This window comes from Homo sapiens, chromosome 8 (genome assembly GCF_000001405.40).
Source record: "Homo sapiens chromosome 8, GRCh38.p14 Primary Assembly".
Lineage (NCBI taxonomy): Eukaryota > Metazoa > Chordata > Mammalia > Primates > Hominidae > Homo > Homo sapiens.
The window spans coordinates 124,936,087-124,952,591 of NC_000008.11; the positions used below are offsets into that span (position 1 = coordinate 124,936,087).

At 41.7% G+C, this 16,505-nt stretch overlaps 2 long non-coding RNA genes across 2 annotated transcripts; one reads left to right on the forward strand and one right to left on the reverse strand.

The window, feature by feature from the left end:
* Positions 1-244: 244 nt before the first annotated feature.
* LOC105375742 (uncharacterized) lies at positions 245-5,447 on the reverse strand. Its single transcript, NR_188055.1, has 3 exons — positions 5,150-5,447; positions 1,622-1,761; positions 245-714 (listed from the first exon to the last, which is right to left on the reverse strand). It is a non-coding gene; the product is annotated as an uncharacterized LOC105375742 (long non-coding RNA).
* Positions 5,448-5,921: 474 nt separating this feature from the next.
* LINC00964 (long intergenic non-protein coding RNA 964) lies at positions 5,922-15,009 on the forward strand. Its single transcript, NR_027321.1, has 4 exons — positions 5,922-6,638; positions 7,184-9,660; positions 9,969-10,073; positions 14,730-15,009. It is a non-coding gene; the product is annotated as a long intergenic non-protein coding RNA 964 (long non-coding RNA).
* Positions 15,010-16,505: the final 1,496 nt, after the last annotated feature.

Consider the following 16,505-nt stretch of genomic DNA (forward strand, 5'->3'; position numbering starts at 1 on the left):
AACCTAACTAGACATTAAGTTGATGATATAATCATGCAGGGAAAAGAATCATTTCAAAACACGTTAAGACTCAGTATTTTGACTGTATAGTCATAAAGCAGTGGTCTTTTATAATAATAATATTTCAGATAGTAATATTTGATATTTCAAATAATAATATTTGAATAATGTAAAATATATTTATCTGTTGTAAGAATTACAGTATTTATATATCGTAAGATATATAGTAAGATCAGTGATCTTATTTATCGTATATAAATTTATTGTATATATATTGTAAGATCAGTGATTATGTTAATGAATGCCATTGGGATTCTAGACTTTAAGCATAGGAGAGATACAGTATAGAATCAGAGAAATTGTTAAAATTCTGTAATATTAAAAGTTCTGGGTCTGGTGCCTTGTGATCCTTGGCTTCTCTCTCTCTCCATGGGCCATTTCCTCCTGCAAGACCTCTCCGGTGGGTTCACGGGCTGCTCACAGCATAGTGGTCTCAGGATATAGACAAACTTCCTTCATTGTAGCCGGCTTCCAAGAGGCAGAAAGCAAAGCCACCGGGCCCATGAAAGGCTCTGCCTGGGAGTAGCACAGCATCACTTCCAGGGCCTGCCCAGCTTCAGGAGGTGGTGAAACAGACACCACCTCGTGATGGAAGAGTGGCAAGGTCACAGTTCAGGAAGCTATGCAGGAGGGGACATACTGTTGTGGCCGACACTGGAAAATAAAATCAACCACAGTGAAGTGGTGGATAACGGAGCAGGTCCCAGCCTCCCCACCAATGGCTCAAACAGGGCTTCTGACTCCAGAAACAACAAGGAATGGCAAATTCCCAACCCACTGGCCACCTGACATTAGCTTATCAACCCTTCTAGATCATCAAGAGGCTTTCAGAACTCTCTTGAGTTTCTCCTGATTTACAGACACACTTTCATTTCCCCCGAGGGTGGTATGAGTGAGTGGGCAGCATCAGGTAGCTGAGAGGGAAATTTCCAGCAATGTCTGCACTAGGAAAGACTGAGCTTGAGGCCCTTGTGCTCCAGGAAGTGCTGCCTGCAGCTGCTGCTAAGGGAGAAGCATCAGGGGCAGGAAACCATCCCTCAGGGCCACTCCACTTGCTACTCCATCACCCTGCAGCCAGAGTGGGACAATGAGACGGAAGCATCAGGAAGCCGTTGCTCCAGGAACTCAGGGAAGGTGGGGGCACAGGAAGGACGCTGGGATGGAGGGGCACAATTTCAAAGGAACAAATGTTGCCTGAATGCTTCGTCATCCTGGCAGCTTCTCAAACATGTGGGGACAAGCAGCCTTGTGGGCACAGCGCCCATGCTCAGAAAGTTCTAGGGATGGATTCGTGGGTGAAGGAGAGCGAGTTGGGACTTTGAGGCAGGATCGTGGTGGGGGAATGGAAGGCCTGTGGACAAGGAGGAGGGGGCTGCAGGCCAGGACACACCTACGAGTAGAAGAGTCCTGCTGTTAGGTTAGATTTCCCTAGTTGCTCTGTGGGCCCACACACTCACAAAGGTGGTGAAGGTAAAGAAGACAGGCTGAGACTCCATTCCGCGCTGACCAACTTGGCCAGTGAGGCTGGTGTAGGAGGTGACTGGCCTCTGCCCTCACCTACCTCCCACCAGCGGTGACGGACTTCACTTCCACCCTCCTCGCTTCCAGCCAAGCCCGGCTTCTCCATTTCAGCTCTGTCTCACTCCACACTCAGAGGCCAGTGGAGGGGCCAGATCAGGCTAAGGATGCCGGTGGGAGGTTCTTTTGGAGAGAAGGCAAAGAGAAAGAGGAGTGGGAGGAGAAAGACGTTTCGTTCTGAGCTTTATCTAGCAGGGGCAGGACCAGAGGCAGGGGTGCACCAGGCTCAGACTACACTTAGCCGAGTTCTGCAGAAGAAATGCTGCTTTGTCTCCATGTGGCCTCTACCCTGGCCTGCTCTGGGCCTCTGAACTAACATAAGGACACTTGCAGAGAGATGGCCCAGGTTTTAGCAAACCTTATTAACTACTACTGCGTAGTTCCACCCATCTTTACTAAGCCTTCCAGACCCCGCGAGCACTGTGGCCCCTGCTGGTGGCCAGATGTCTCGGATGCCTTTCATTTTTGCTTGCCAAGCCTACCTTCCCCTTTTGTCTGACAGCACCTCCCTCCATTTCTTGTGGGAGGAAAAAGAGGGCCACCTCTCATGTACTTTATGTGGTCCCAGTCAGATCCCCTATCGTGACGCTCCATGCTGTGATGGGCAGATGTCCCAGGCTAGCCAAAGAACTCCATCCCCTGGGCCTAATGACTGATTCAGGTGGGTATCGGATGTCAACTGGGCCAATTGGGAACTTTTCTAATCCTTTATATATGGATGCTAGAGGAGATTATGCGTGTCTTCCTGGAAAATCAGATGTGGTAATGACTTCTATAGGCCTAGGTATACTGATGAAGCCTGCCTGAGACCCAGAGGGCAGCACAGCCAAGAGATGCAGAGACAGAGAGAGAGAACTCATGACACCATTTGAGTCCTCAAGGAAGCTCCAAAGAATTAGCAAAAGCTCAGACTTTGTCCTCAAGCCTTCCTCAAGCACCGCTATCCAGAGCTCTCTGTCAAGTAACAGACAGCAGCAAAGATCAAATCAAGGATGTTGCCTCTCACTCAAGCCTGTTTCTTCGGATAGACTCAGGACAATTGCATTTAAATTGAGACACTGGGGCTAAGCAGAGCGTGGACATCAGTAAATAAAGTTTTTAGGCTAAAAGCATGCCAAACCAGATTTTGTCTTTAGTTATTTGTGCATGAACTGGACCGGAAGCAAATATTCTTAAAGCCTACGTGGGTTTCTTAGGGAATTTTACTGCCCAGGAAACTCTAAGTCTGACTTGTCAAAGCCCTGGAGCCAGGAGGCTGCCGGGGGCCCCAACCATGCCCCTGAGGGAAGGAACTGTAAAAGCTCTGCAGCCCCTCCCCACCCCTCCCAGGGCCATCGCCTAAATGTCTGCTTCAGATGGACAGGGGAGAATCTTCTGGACCATGTCAGCCAAGGGAGGCTCTCCTGGAAAGTACAACCAGGGTTGCCAGATGGACTGACCCAGAGATTCGCCTGCTAACATAGAAAAAAGACTTTTTAGCTCCTGCTCAGCAAGATTTGAGCATTGATATGGACCTGAGTAACTTATACGTGTTTTCTTATCTTTTTTCAGAATGGGAAATGTTATTGCAATTTTCCTATACAGAACCACTGTTAAGTATGGGGTAAGGGAGAGCTTGGGGGTAACAGAGTGATCCAGCTTCTCCAGGAGCTCCTCCTGGTCCCAAGTGCTTTTCCTGCAGGTGCTCCTGATCTTTGCATGGAATCGAGGCATTTGGGCCTCGTCTCCCTCAGAGAGAGGGTAGATGTGTCTGTGAGGAGGACCCACAAATATCTGGTGGCCAAAAGCATGGACAGTGGCAGACACTGTTAGATGTCACACAGTGCTAGTTCCTCCCTCCTTTTAGACTAAAAAGACACCCCATTTTTGGTCTGGGCATGGGCAGCGTTATTTCCAGCCTCCCTTGCTGCTGGGTGTGGCCAAGTTCCCAGATAAAAATGAGCAGAAGAGAGAGAGGAAACTTCTGGGTCACGCTTGTCAAAGAAAAAGGCATTTCTTCCGTTCCACTTCCTCTTCCCACCCTGCTGCTGGAATTCTGATGTGCTCGTGTCCATCTTCAACCACACAGGCAAGGACAGTCTCAGGAATGGCCAGTTCTGTGTCAAAACTCCTGAACCTATAAACTCAGCTGTTCTGAAGTCCTATTTTTTTTTTTTCCTTTGGGGGCTTTTGTAAATTCAGTGACTCTGTCTGGGAAAGTATAGCAATTATATCCTATAAAAATTACTGTGATACTGGAAAGGTATAACACTAATAACCTTGGGAAGCTATAACATTAAACAGTAACAATTAGAATGAAGAGAATAAAGACACAAATTTAAATTCATAGTGTACTGTATTAGCACTTTTATGACTGGTTTTAGTAGTGCAAGTGGCTACAGCTTTTCAGGTGGATTATAGCACTGGTGAGAAGAGACCTTTCTTGATCTTATTCTTGTGTTCTCACTCTTGTTCTCCTTTTCACTGTAAAATTCCTGAGAGAATTAGCCAAGGATGCAGAATATGATCAGAAATCTGGGGCCATAAGAAGCTGGAGCAGCAAAACACATTCACAGTGCAGCCAGCCCTTGGCTCCCAGAATTCCCAAAACAAGTGTGCTCCCTTCAGAAATACAGTCCTTGGAGTAGGAGGCTAACAGAGCTAAGGTACTCATTTCCACTATACTATAACCTGGTTTTGCTATGGAATTGTATCATCATTTCAGAAAGAATTTATGCCGACAACTCATGCGCTTAATTGAAAATATGCTCATAGACCTCCTCGTACTTTTTGAGTCACAAAACATCAGCAGGCTCTCTCATACAGAAGGAGGAGAAAACAGAGTGTGTATCCTTCACATGTGTGAGCAGTATCTTCTCTCTGGCTCTTCAGGGTCTCAGCAAGCCATTTCCCCATAGTATAATAATTTCGGTAATCAAAGTGACATTCTGTGCATGTATTGTCACTTCTTAAGGTGTTTAGAGCATGCCAACAAATCTGATTTATTAGATTCATAGTTTTAATTATTTGTTTATCTAAGAGCTTGATTACAAATTTGTAATGAATGCTTAAATGTCTGGGGAGATTTAATGCGAAGTTTTGTGCTTTTGCTGATTATGTGTAAATAGTGAATAAATATTTGGAATTGTTAAATGCTAAATATTAGAAGAAGTGTTGTTTATAGATTAATGAGTTAGCACATTCATAAAAGACAGGTAACAGTGACTTTTTCTCTCTGCATTAATAACCACTCAGACATTAATGGGTGTCAGTGTCCTTATCCATGCGGAGAAGGGGTTGAATTCAATCATTGCTAAGTTTTCATACATCTCTAAAATGCTGGATCATAATGAAAATTCAGAAACTCTTTCGCTCATGTTCACACCAGATTTTTACCATCCTACAACAACTTAGACCTTCAGCATGCCTTTCATTCTTTTATAATATCACAGCTGCCTCTGTGTAAATAGACTGTCAGCATTACATCAAGGCATATGTCTGATTGATAGGTCTACCAGGCACCCTTACGTACAATCAAAACTCAGCCTGTCTTGAAGATAATTACCAGCTTCAGCACATCTCAGCTGCTGTCAATAAACTTTCTTGTGTGTGCCAGCTTCCTATAGCAATGGAAGCAAACCAGAACTGCCCACTTCTTATGACATTTTCCATCAATTTTTTACAAAGCCTGAGCATTTGAATAGTGCTTCACTGTTTACAGAGCAATTTCCCTTTCTCACAACCATCCTCATTTTACAGGTGAAGGATCTAAAACCTGAAAAGAGGCCAAATGATTCCTCAAAACCACGCAAGTACGAAGTAGCAGAGCGGATCTCAAATCCAGGTGTGTCTGACTTCCAGCCTAATGGCTTTTCTTAAAAACACCCCCAAACTCTTGGTAACATCTATGCAATGAAAAGGGTTGTCATGAAAACTGCTTCCCAGTTTGTTAAATTCTTATGCAGGTCTCCAGTGTCAGAAACGCTGAGTATCACTAATCTCAAGACCTTCTCTCTGCTATACGAGCTCTGGCAGAGCTTGTCTCCAAGGGCTAGACAGGAAAAAAAAAATCTGGGTTCAATTAAAATATATCAATAAAGAGAACTAAAAGGAGCTCCAAAACGTTGCTGCCCTTCTGCGGGCTGTCTGTGTGTAATGCCGGCTCCTTCACTCTTTTATGGCACCATGATTGTGTTTTACCCTCCCGACTGTTAACTGCCAACTGTTAACTGTTAACTGCCCAAGGTTGCCCTGCTGATGTCATGCCTGACCATATGACTTGCTCCAGCCAATGAAATGTAAGCAGAAGTGACATATGCAGCATGACCAGTGGAAGCTTCGAAGAGCTATTGCCAATTTCCACCCTCTCTCTGGAAACTGTCATTAGGGTTAGGGAAACTGTCATGAGATCTGCATATTTTAGATAGAGGCTGCTTGCCTTATTTGGGCACCTAATGAAAAAGACATGGAGGCCAGGTGCGGTGGCTCATGTCTGTAATCCCAGCACTTTGGGAGGCCAAGGCGAGTGGATCACCTGAGGTCAGGAGTTCGAGACCAGCCTGACCAACATGGCAAAACCCCGTCTGTACTAAAAGTGCAAACACAAAGGGAACTGCGTGGCTTGTTTCTACCTGAACATTGTCAAGTGATTTCATCCTTTGAAACACAGTTGTGAAGTGTGTCCAGCAGTCTGAGAACAAGAAGAAGAAGAAAATCTAATCCTTCAGGGTGTCTGTGTGCCAGCCCTGCTCTCAGCACTTCCCATGTGGAACTCCTTTACTTCTCCTAACAACTCCATGACATGGGTTAGACTGTGATTGTTCCCATATTGTTGGTAGGGAAACTGAGGCATGCAGGTGTTACAGAGCTCTCTCAAGTGGCAAGCTTTCTGGGTGGTTACAGAGTGGCAGAGCTGGGGTATCCCATGATGTCACCACACTGCTATATGGAAAAGAACATTAATCGAGCACCTACGTGCTTGATTCTCTTAATTCTGTGACTGAACTCTCAAAACACCCTGGGTAAGCACTATCATCTCCTATTTTCACAAGTGAAAAAACTGGGATTCAAAAAAATTAAGTGACTTACCAAATATTACAGAGCTAGTAAGCCAAGACTTGAACACTGAGATGGAATTCTACCTTTTAAGGTGGCTAAGCAACAGAAGGATGTTCCTTTCCCAAGGGGGTAAGAAGCAGTGGCCATGTTCAGCACAATTGTCCTATCACAGGTTCATGGCAGGGACCGAGCAGTGAGGATGGGCACTGCCCTGTGTCCTAGCAGAGGGCTGCCTTCTGGCTCCCCAGCCTTGGCCAGCAGCCCTTCTATCTTCATGCCATGACCTATTTTTGTTCACCCAGTTAGTGTATGGCCTATTTCTTTCCTTAAGAATTACTTCATAACTTTCACAGAGTAATAGCACATGCTGAGCACAGCATTCATGAACTTGGACACACGCACACAAAATGTCCCTTTAAATTCACAGAGCAGTATCTGAGATCCAGGTAGAAAGACCAAAAGGAAAATTAAGAACAGACTCTCAGACCTGCCTTCCCTTTGCATTCAGGTTGGTTTCCTTTTTACAACTGCCCAAGTCATGAGTTCATAGGGCCTGGATGGCTGTACCGGATTGCTCTCCAGCTGGTCTCTCTGCATCCAGAAATTTCTACAACCTACTGGGGTAAAATCTTTCTCAACCCTGCTTTTCATCATCACATCTTAAATATCTCGAGTTGGTTCCCTATTGCCAAAAAAAATCCATTGTCCATGTAGGGTTCTTCTGCCGAAACGAGGAAAGAGTGAGTTAAATGTTGGTAGGTGATATAGAGATAGTAATTAGGCAATATAATTCGATGTTGTTGAAAGAGCTGAGCTATGAAATGCATTGTGATAAAGGGGCTGCCTGTGTAAGTAAATGGGTATAATGAGGTGTAAAACTCCCTTTCTCTCTCTCTTTCTGCTTCATAAGCCTTTCTGCTTCTCAAGTCCAGACCTGCTGTTTTTGGGGTTTCCTTCCAATTTTTTTGCTGCTTCCCTGGGGCCTTGGCTCTTGGGCCTGCTGCCTCTTCCCACTCTACACCTTTGGATTCCTTATCTTTGGCTCCACCTTATTGCTCCATTCTCCAAAGACAAATCCACAAGGCATAGGATTTTACAGAATATGGGGTTACAGAAACAGCATAGGGAAGTGTAAAAGCCTAGAAGCTTCTTACAGACGCAGCCCCTTGTCTGTAGCTCCTGACTCCCACTTAAATGTCTGTTGGAAGCACCCTGGGGTAGCAGAACCCAGCTCAGAAGATGGGGCTTATCCACCATGCCTTTTCCTAACCTGACACCCACCCAGATAATCTTTTCAATATGCAAACTAGAGCGTATCACCCCCTGCTCAGAGCCTTTCTGTGACCTCCCATTTTGCTTCCCAGGACTCCTTGCTCCTTAGCCAGGTCTCCAGGTCCTCCGTGATCAGGTCTCTGCTCTTCTGCAGCCTCATCTCTGCCATTCTTCACCTTTTGTGCTCCAACCCAATCTGGTTTTCTTCTCATGCTTTGAACACCCCAAGTCTGTCTGCTTCAGGAGCTTCGTACTGGCTAATCATTCACCACAGCATACTCCCATCTATACGGCTGGCTCTTATATTATGGGTCTCAGCTAAAATGTCATCCCTTCAAAGAGACCTTCTTGGACCACCCCCGCCATTCTCTATCCTATTTCTCTCTTTTATTTTCTTTGAAGCACTTACCCACTTTCAGAAACTATCTGGCTTGCTCATGTGTTTGTCTCTAGATTGTCTACTTCCCCTCCTAGACTGTACTCTCCACAAGAGAGCAAAGCTGTGTCTGTTGCATTCACTGTTGTCTTCCCAGAAGCAAGCAGCATGCTGGAGACCCTCAAATACATGTGAAATGAAGGGACACCTTGTGTTATTTCACCTGTTTCCACCTGGTTCCCAAGTGGCAAGCTTGCATTGAGGTTACAAAGTGGCAAAGCTGGGATATCACATGATGTCACCATGATGCTATATGAAATGTAACATTAATTGAGTACCTATGTGACCAGTTCTTTAATTCTGTAAGTGAACTCTCAAAAAACCCTAGGTAAGTATTATCAACTCGAACTTTAACGGATGAGGAAACTGGAATTTTTTAAAAAATGACTTAACCAAACATCACAGAGCTGTAAACCAGGATTTGAATGGGTGAGCTGCACTCAGCCTTCATCTCAAGTCAGTTTGCCTCTTTCTCCAAGAAGCCACAGTTGATCCTGACCACATCACATATGAGTTGCCTGGATTGCAGTCATTCATTCACTAAGCATCTTTTAGGAGGTCACATGCCAGGCACCGTGTTAGGTAATGATTTCTCCAAGTCACAGGAGCCGTGGTTCTGACTTTAGAAAGTTTCTCATCTGATGGGAGGGCAGGCAAGTAAATCAGTAAGGGTGGTCCCTGTCGGGACACTGGTTGAGAAATACCCAGGAACACTCTGATTGAGAAATACCCAAAGTGCAAAGTGACAGGGACTAGAGGCATCTCCACTGGACCAGAGAGCTCTGGATTCGTCTTGAGCTAAGTCTCTGGAGGTAGGTGTCAGCTACAAGGAGAAAAGCTGTATATTTTGAGATATGGGATGCAGGGCCTTTTAGTTCCATAAATAAGAGAACTATGGTGTGAATACCACATGCCCTGGGCTGAACTAAGTGGGCTCTAGGGGAAGGTATACTGGGCAGGGAGTTTGGAGAACTGGTTTCTGTCTAATCCTTCTCTAACTCTGTGACCTTGAATGCATCATTTCCCCTCTGAGTCTCAGATTCTCTTTCTGGCTGGCATTTAATGAAACCTAAATATTCTAGACCTTCTACTTGTTCCATAAGTGCTCAGTCCTACACTCACTCTCCTCTGGCACCAATATACTGATTACTCATTTTATGCCCAGCAGAGCACTGCGTGTTTTGAAATATACAAATAGTGGGAAACGAAATCTTTGTTCTGGATGCAGTTATAATTTGGAAAGCGAGGAAATAAATTATAACAAGGGGAAAAAACAGGTAAGCACAACATCTTACAACATTTGCTAATTATTTCACGTGTTGGTCTTATCATTCCAATTAGATATCAAGTTTTAGGTCAGAAACTCTGTGTTCTTTTTCTTTCTAATATAGTCTTTACCATTTTCTAGCTGTAAGAAAATGTTCTAATTACTTTACCTTCCTAAGCTTTCATTCTATAATCTGTCAAAGTACCTAATTTGTAGGGTTGCCGTGAGGAGTAAATGAGCTGTTGCATGGGAAGCACTTAGCATGGGGCCTGATAAATAGTAAGCCCTTGGTAATAATTACATCTTCCGTGATGCTAGACACAGAGGGATTGAAATGCATAACAATAGAGATGAAACACGAAGAGTGATAAATGAAGATTGAGTGTGCACACCTTCTGGAGGAGCCCTGATTGAGTATTTTAAGTAAGTGGACTAACTGTATTATTGTTAAGGAATTAGAAGCATGTAGGTAGAAGGCTGTGGTAATGGCTCAAATAGAAGGTGGGGTCAGGACTGGGATGGAGGCTAAGAAGGAGACACTGTAGAGAAAGAGTCAGTAGGATCTTGAGGATGCTCTCAGCCAAGGGTTTTGGTATCTTCTCTGAATGGGCAAGCCATTAGCATTTTTTCATTGCCCATGGCTACCTGTTGCAGGGACTTAATTACAAGTGAGTGCATCTGAGAGGTCTGGTGCTCCCTGGTTTCTCCTAGCCCCCTTTCTCATAGACAGGTTACAGCGTGCTGAAAATACTAGGATCACAATTACTCTCACCCTATAAGTAAGTTCAAAGAACTAAAGGAAACTATAATTAAATAGGTAAAATAACAATGTCACATCAAATAGAGACTATCAATAAAGAGATATAAATTAGTAAAACCAATTGAAAATTTTGGAGTTGAAAAATAAATTAAAACTTTTTATTTAAAAATAAAAATTTTAGAGAGGCTCAACAATAGATTTGAATTGGCAGAAGAAAAAAACTAGCAAACTTGAAGATAGATTGGTAGAGAGTATACCATCTGAAAAACAGAGAAAAAGCAGTGAAAAATGAACTGAGCCTCAATATGGAACACCATAAAGCATGCTAACATATGAGTAATGGAAGTATCAGAAGGAAAAGAGAGAGAAAAAGGAGTAGAAAAAATGTTCAAAAATAAGAATAGCTGAAAACTTTCCAAATTTGATTTTTAAAAACAAAAAAAATTAAACATTCAAGAAAATCAACAGACTTCAAGTAGAATAAATGCAAAGGGATCCACACACAGATATAGCATGGAAAAATTCTGAAAGCCAATGATAGGGAGAAAATCTTAAAAGCAGTAAGAGAAAGATGACTCATCACATAGAAAAGAAGCTCAATATGATTAACAGCTGATTTTTCATCAGAAACAATAGAGCCAAAAGGAAGTGGGATGACAGATGTAAAGTGCTGAAAGAAAAAGAAAACTGTCAACTAAGAATCTTCAGCAAAGAAACTTCAGCAAAGCTTTCAAAATGAAGGAAAAATCGACTTTTCCCTATTAGAAAAGAAAGAGAATTTATTGCTAGTAAATGTATCTTACAAGGAGTACTAAAGGCAGTTCTTTAGGCTGAAAACAAATGACCCCAGAAAGTTATTTGAATCCACACACATGTACATTAAGAGCACCAGTAAAAGTAATTATGCAATTATAAAAGATACTACACACGAATATTCTTTCTCCATTCTTTCAATTGATTTAAAAAACAATTGTATAAAACGATATATAGATAATTGTATTGTTTCACTCTAACATATGGAAATATGACTTATTTGCCAATAACAGCACAGAAGTGGGTGAGAGCAAAGTTGTGTCAGAGTAAGACAATGACACCAAGCCAGATGGTTATCAAAATCCACAGGAACAAATGAAGAGAACCAGAAATTGCAAATAAGAAGGACAGAGTACCAGAGAGGAGAGAGAGGTACAGAGAATTATGGAGGTGGCTTCCGTTGAGTATGCAGCTAAGTAATGATTAATGCATACATATAAGAAACTACTGGATGACAGAGAAAGAACCACAAGCAATTTAAAGGTAACAGCACCCAACACTCACACATGACTGGAAAATGTGCCTTTTCCCACATGCCAGACTGGAAAATTGTGTGTTCCACAGGGCATTCAATAGAGTACACAGAAGGATTTTTGCTTCGTTAGTAGGAAACAATTAGCCCTAGCCTAAATACTGCTCTGGTTCAACCTATCAAATTTTTTTTTTTTTTGAAACAGAGTTTTGCTCTTGTTTCCCAGCTGGAGTGCAATGACATGATCTCGGCCCACTGCAAACTCTGCCTCCTGGGTTCAAGCAATTCTCCTGCCTCAGCTTCCTGAATAGCTTGGATTACAGGTGCCTGCCACCATGCCAGGCTAATTTTTGTATTTTTAGTAGAGATGGGGTTTTCCCATGCTGGCCAGGCTGGTCTCCAACTCCCAACCTCAGGAGATCTGCCCGCCTCGGCCTCCCAAAGTGCTGGGATTATAGGTGTGAGCCACTGCGCCTGGCAACCTATCAAATCTTAAAAGCAAGACCTGAAAGGATCAACTTATTTCCAAGTATTAATAATTTAACTGAGTTCTAGAACAAAACTCAAAAATATTTATCAGAATACAAAAATATCCAGGCCCCAACAAGATAACGTTTAAAGTATATCAGCCAATAAAAAATTACAATGCATGCAAAGAATCAAAAAGATCTGCTCCAGAGTATGGAGATAAATGGGTCAATCACAACCAATCCAGAAACTGACACAGATGTTAAAATTAGCTGACAAAGACATTACAGATGCTGTTTGACTTGTGATGGGATTATATCCTGATAAACCCTTGTAAATTGAAATTATCATAAGTTGAAAATGCATTTACTACATCTAACCTACCAAACATCACAGCTTAGCCTAGCCTATCTTAAACATGCTCAGAAAACTTACATTAGCCTACAGTTGAGCAAAATCATCTAACACAAAGCCAATTTTATAATAAAGTGTTGACTTTGGCTTCTAAATACCATTCTCCACTAAAAGGAATCAAGGTTCTTTGGAGAAATGACTGATTCTAGTGTTTGGACTAAAAAGTACAAGATGAATCTAAAAGATATTTTTGTGCCAGAAAGCAAGGAAGCTCTCAAAGACTATGGAGTCATATCAAAAGGACCCAGAAGCTAACTTGTAGATAACTCAAATAGCCAGTTGGAGACAATTTGACCATCAAAATAATTAATATAAGGGATTATAATCCTTGTGGTAGGCAGAATAATGGCCTACAAAGTTGTCTATGCCTGCATCAGTGGAATCTATGAACATGGAATCTTGCATGGGAAAAGGGAATTTGCAGATTTGATTAGAGACCCCAAAATAGAAAGATTATCTTGGATTATGTAATAGCTAAAATTGAGTGTCAACTTGATTGGATTGAAGGATGCAAAGTATTGTTCCTGGGTGTATCTGTAAAGGTGTTGCCAAAGGAGGTTAACATTTAAGTCAGTGGACTGGGAGAGGCAGACCTACCCTCAATATGGATGGGCACGATCTAAGCAGATGCCCCCATGGCTAGGATAAAGCAGGCAGAAGAGCCTGGAAGGACTAGACTGGCTGGGTCTTCCAGCCTTCCTGTTTCTCCCTTGCTGGATGCTTCCTGCCCTCGAACATTAGACTCCAAGTTCTTCAGCTTTTGGACTCTTGGGCTTACACCAGTGGTTTGCCAGGGCCTCTCAGGCCTTCTGCCACAGACTGAAGGCTGCACTGTTGGCTTCCCTACTTTTGAGGTTTTGAGACTCAAACTGACTTCCTTGCTTGCTACTCAGCTTGCAGACAGCCTATTGTGGGACTTCAACTTGGCATTGTGTGAGTCAATACTCCTAATAAACTCCCTTTTATATATACATCTATCCTTTTAGTCCTGTTCCTCCAGAGAACACTGACTAATACAGATTATCTAGACAGGCCCAGTGTAATCACATGAGTCCTTAAAAATAGAAATCCTTCCTGACTACAGAGAACCAGAGAGATGGAAGCATGAGAAGGACTCAACCTGTGTTGTTGGCTTCCAAATGGAGGAAGGGATCCAGGAGACAAGGAATGTGAGTGGCCTCTAGAAGACAGAAAAGGCAATAAAATGGATTCACCCTTAGAGCCTCCAGGAAGCAATGCCACCCTGTCAACACCTTGATTTTTAGCCCAGTGAGTCCTGTGTCAGACTCCTGACATAAAGAACTGTTAGATAATGCATTTATGTTGTTTTAAGCCACTAAAATGTGATTTGTCTCAGCAGCAATAGAAAACTACCGTAATCCCTTTGAATAAAATAGGAAGGTGTACGTCCATAAAGATAGAAATAAATGAATAAATTGAAAGTTTGATGAGGAACAGGATATCTATTTCAAAATAACTCTGCACAAAACACTTATTAATTACAAAGGGTTAAAGAGCAATTTGGAAGTTATTCCTAGTTCTCTGCTAGGAGGAGCCTAGTGGATACCACCCTAATCAAGTGATCTAACTGAATATCAACAGCAGTGAGACAGATGTAAATTATGCCTCAGCCAATAGTATCAGTGAGAAGAATACAACACTTCTGTGGTATTTCTACCCAAGATACATAACTTAAGGAAACATCAGAGACATTGTAAGAAACTCAGATTGAGGGACATTCTATGTAATAACTGGTCAGCTATCATCAAAGTTGCCAAGGTCATTTAAGTTAAGGGAAGACAAAGGAACTTTTCCAAGCTAAAGAACACCAAAAAGACTTGACAATTAAATGCAATGTGTGGTTTTGAACTGGATTACTTTGTTGGAATCACTGGCAAAACTTGAATGGGTTCTGAGGATTAGACTGCAGTTAGTATCAATGTTAATTTCCTGATTTTAATGGTTATATTTTGGTTATGTAGAAAAATTTTTGAAAAGTCATACTAACAAAAGATAAATAATTATGGTAGCTTGTCTCCAAGATGGCTGACCAGCATAAATTTCTTCTCCCTATATCCACACAAGCCAGGGTTGCAGTTTATTCCTTTGTTCCCTTGAATGTGGCCTGATTTGTGACTGCTTTGGTCAACAGAATACTACTAAAGTCATGCCGTGTGACTTCTGAAGCTAGCTCCTAAGAAGTCCTTGCAGCTTCTGCCTGCGACTCTTAGAACACTTGCTTTGAAGGATGCCAGATGCTGTCTTAAAAGTCTGAGCACTCTGAAACCATCATGCTGTGAGGAAGCCCAAGCTAACCACATGGGCAAAAAAGATGCCCTCTGACTGCCACCATTTGAGACACTCTAATTAAGAACTGCCTCATTGAGCCCATGAGGCCCTGTGAATGATAATAATAAATTGTTTTTAACCACTATGTTTTTGGATTTGTTATAAGTTTATAGATAACAAGAAAAAGTTATATTAGCATGGTAATAAAATTATGGATATGTGTAAGTTTGGTGTTTTGTTTCTTTTTTTTTTTTACACTAAGCCTATATTACTGTTGTAATTTAGGAAATCACTTGTTTTCCTCCAGCACTTCAATGTAAGAGTGGCACTACTTAGAATGTACTTCTTAAGATATGGCTGTACATAGAACAAATTATTCACCATGATTTCCTTAGCATCCAACAGAATACCTGAGTGTAGTAGATGCTTAGTAAATAGTTGTTGAATAATTGACATATGGGAGAGTGCTGGATAAACTCTTTGAGAATGACATTATCTACTTCGATTTATGTGAGTCTGGCATCATATTTTTTTTGCTGTCTTTAAAGAAACCAAGAAGAAAGGCTGTGTGTTGAAGTTATGATTTATTGCTTTTCTCCCCTATACATTTATTTCTTCACATGATCATCTCCTCTGCTTTCTTCTGTGACTAACTTGCTCTATCTGTGTGAACATTTTGCCACTATTCTGCTCCCTTTATACCTGCCTAGGCAAAGATTGCACAAAAAATAAAATGATAAACAAAGCTCTGTTGCAAATAAAACTTAGATGACACGCCAACATCTCACATCAGTCAATATGTGAAAAGAATAATATCCATGGACAAGTAGGGCTAATTTCAAGAATACAAGAATAACCCTGGGGAATTAGTTAATATAAGTAAATCATGTTTCATATATCAAAAAAATATGATCATCTTGGCTTTTAAAACGTTCTTAGGAAACAAGATCTTGAGGAATACTTTATTAACATGATAAAGAAGATTTACATTAAATGAGCATTTATTGAGACATGGCATATACAAGATAATGTTGAATTTTAGGAATTAAAATATTAAGTAAGGCAAGTCACTGTTCTCAAGAACTTAAAATATAAAATATTAATCACAGAACCTTACCAGCCTCTTTTTCTGCAGTGGATCTAGAATGTCACAATTGGAAATTAATGCAAAGGAAATGTTTCAAATTAAGACATTTGCATAATGATCATTGCAGTGCTATGTTCAATAGCAAAGTATCTTGACCTTAATACCTGACAACAAGGGGCTAGTTATGTAAATTATTTCATATTAACTCAATGGAATATTATACGCTCATTAAGTTTCATTCGGTATGCATGATATACAACCTAAGACACAGATTAAATTAGTTCAAAGGCAACGTAGGAATATTGAACACTGTATATTAAGTAAAATTAGTTCTTAAAAGTGTTAATACAATACAGAGTTTCTGAATGTCAGCACTACTGGCATTTTGGACCAGATACTTCTTTGTTGTAGGGGGCTATGTTGTGCATTGCAGGATGTTTAGCCGCATCCCTGGTCTCCATCCATTAGATGCCATATCACATGCCACCTCCTTCCCTTCACTCCCTTAGCTGTGATGACCAAAAATGTCTCCACACATTGCCAAATGTTCCC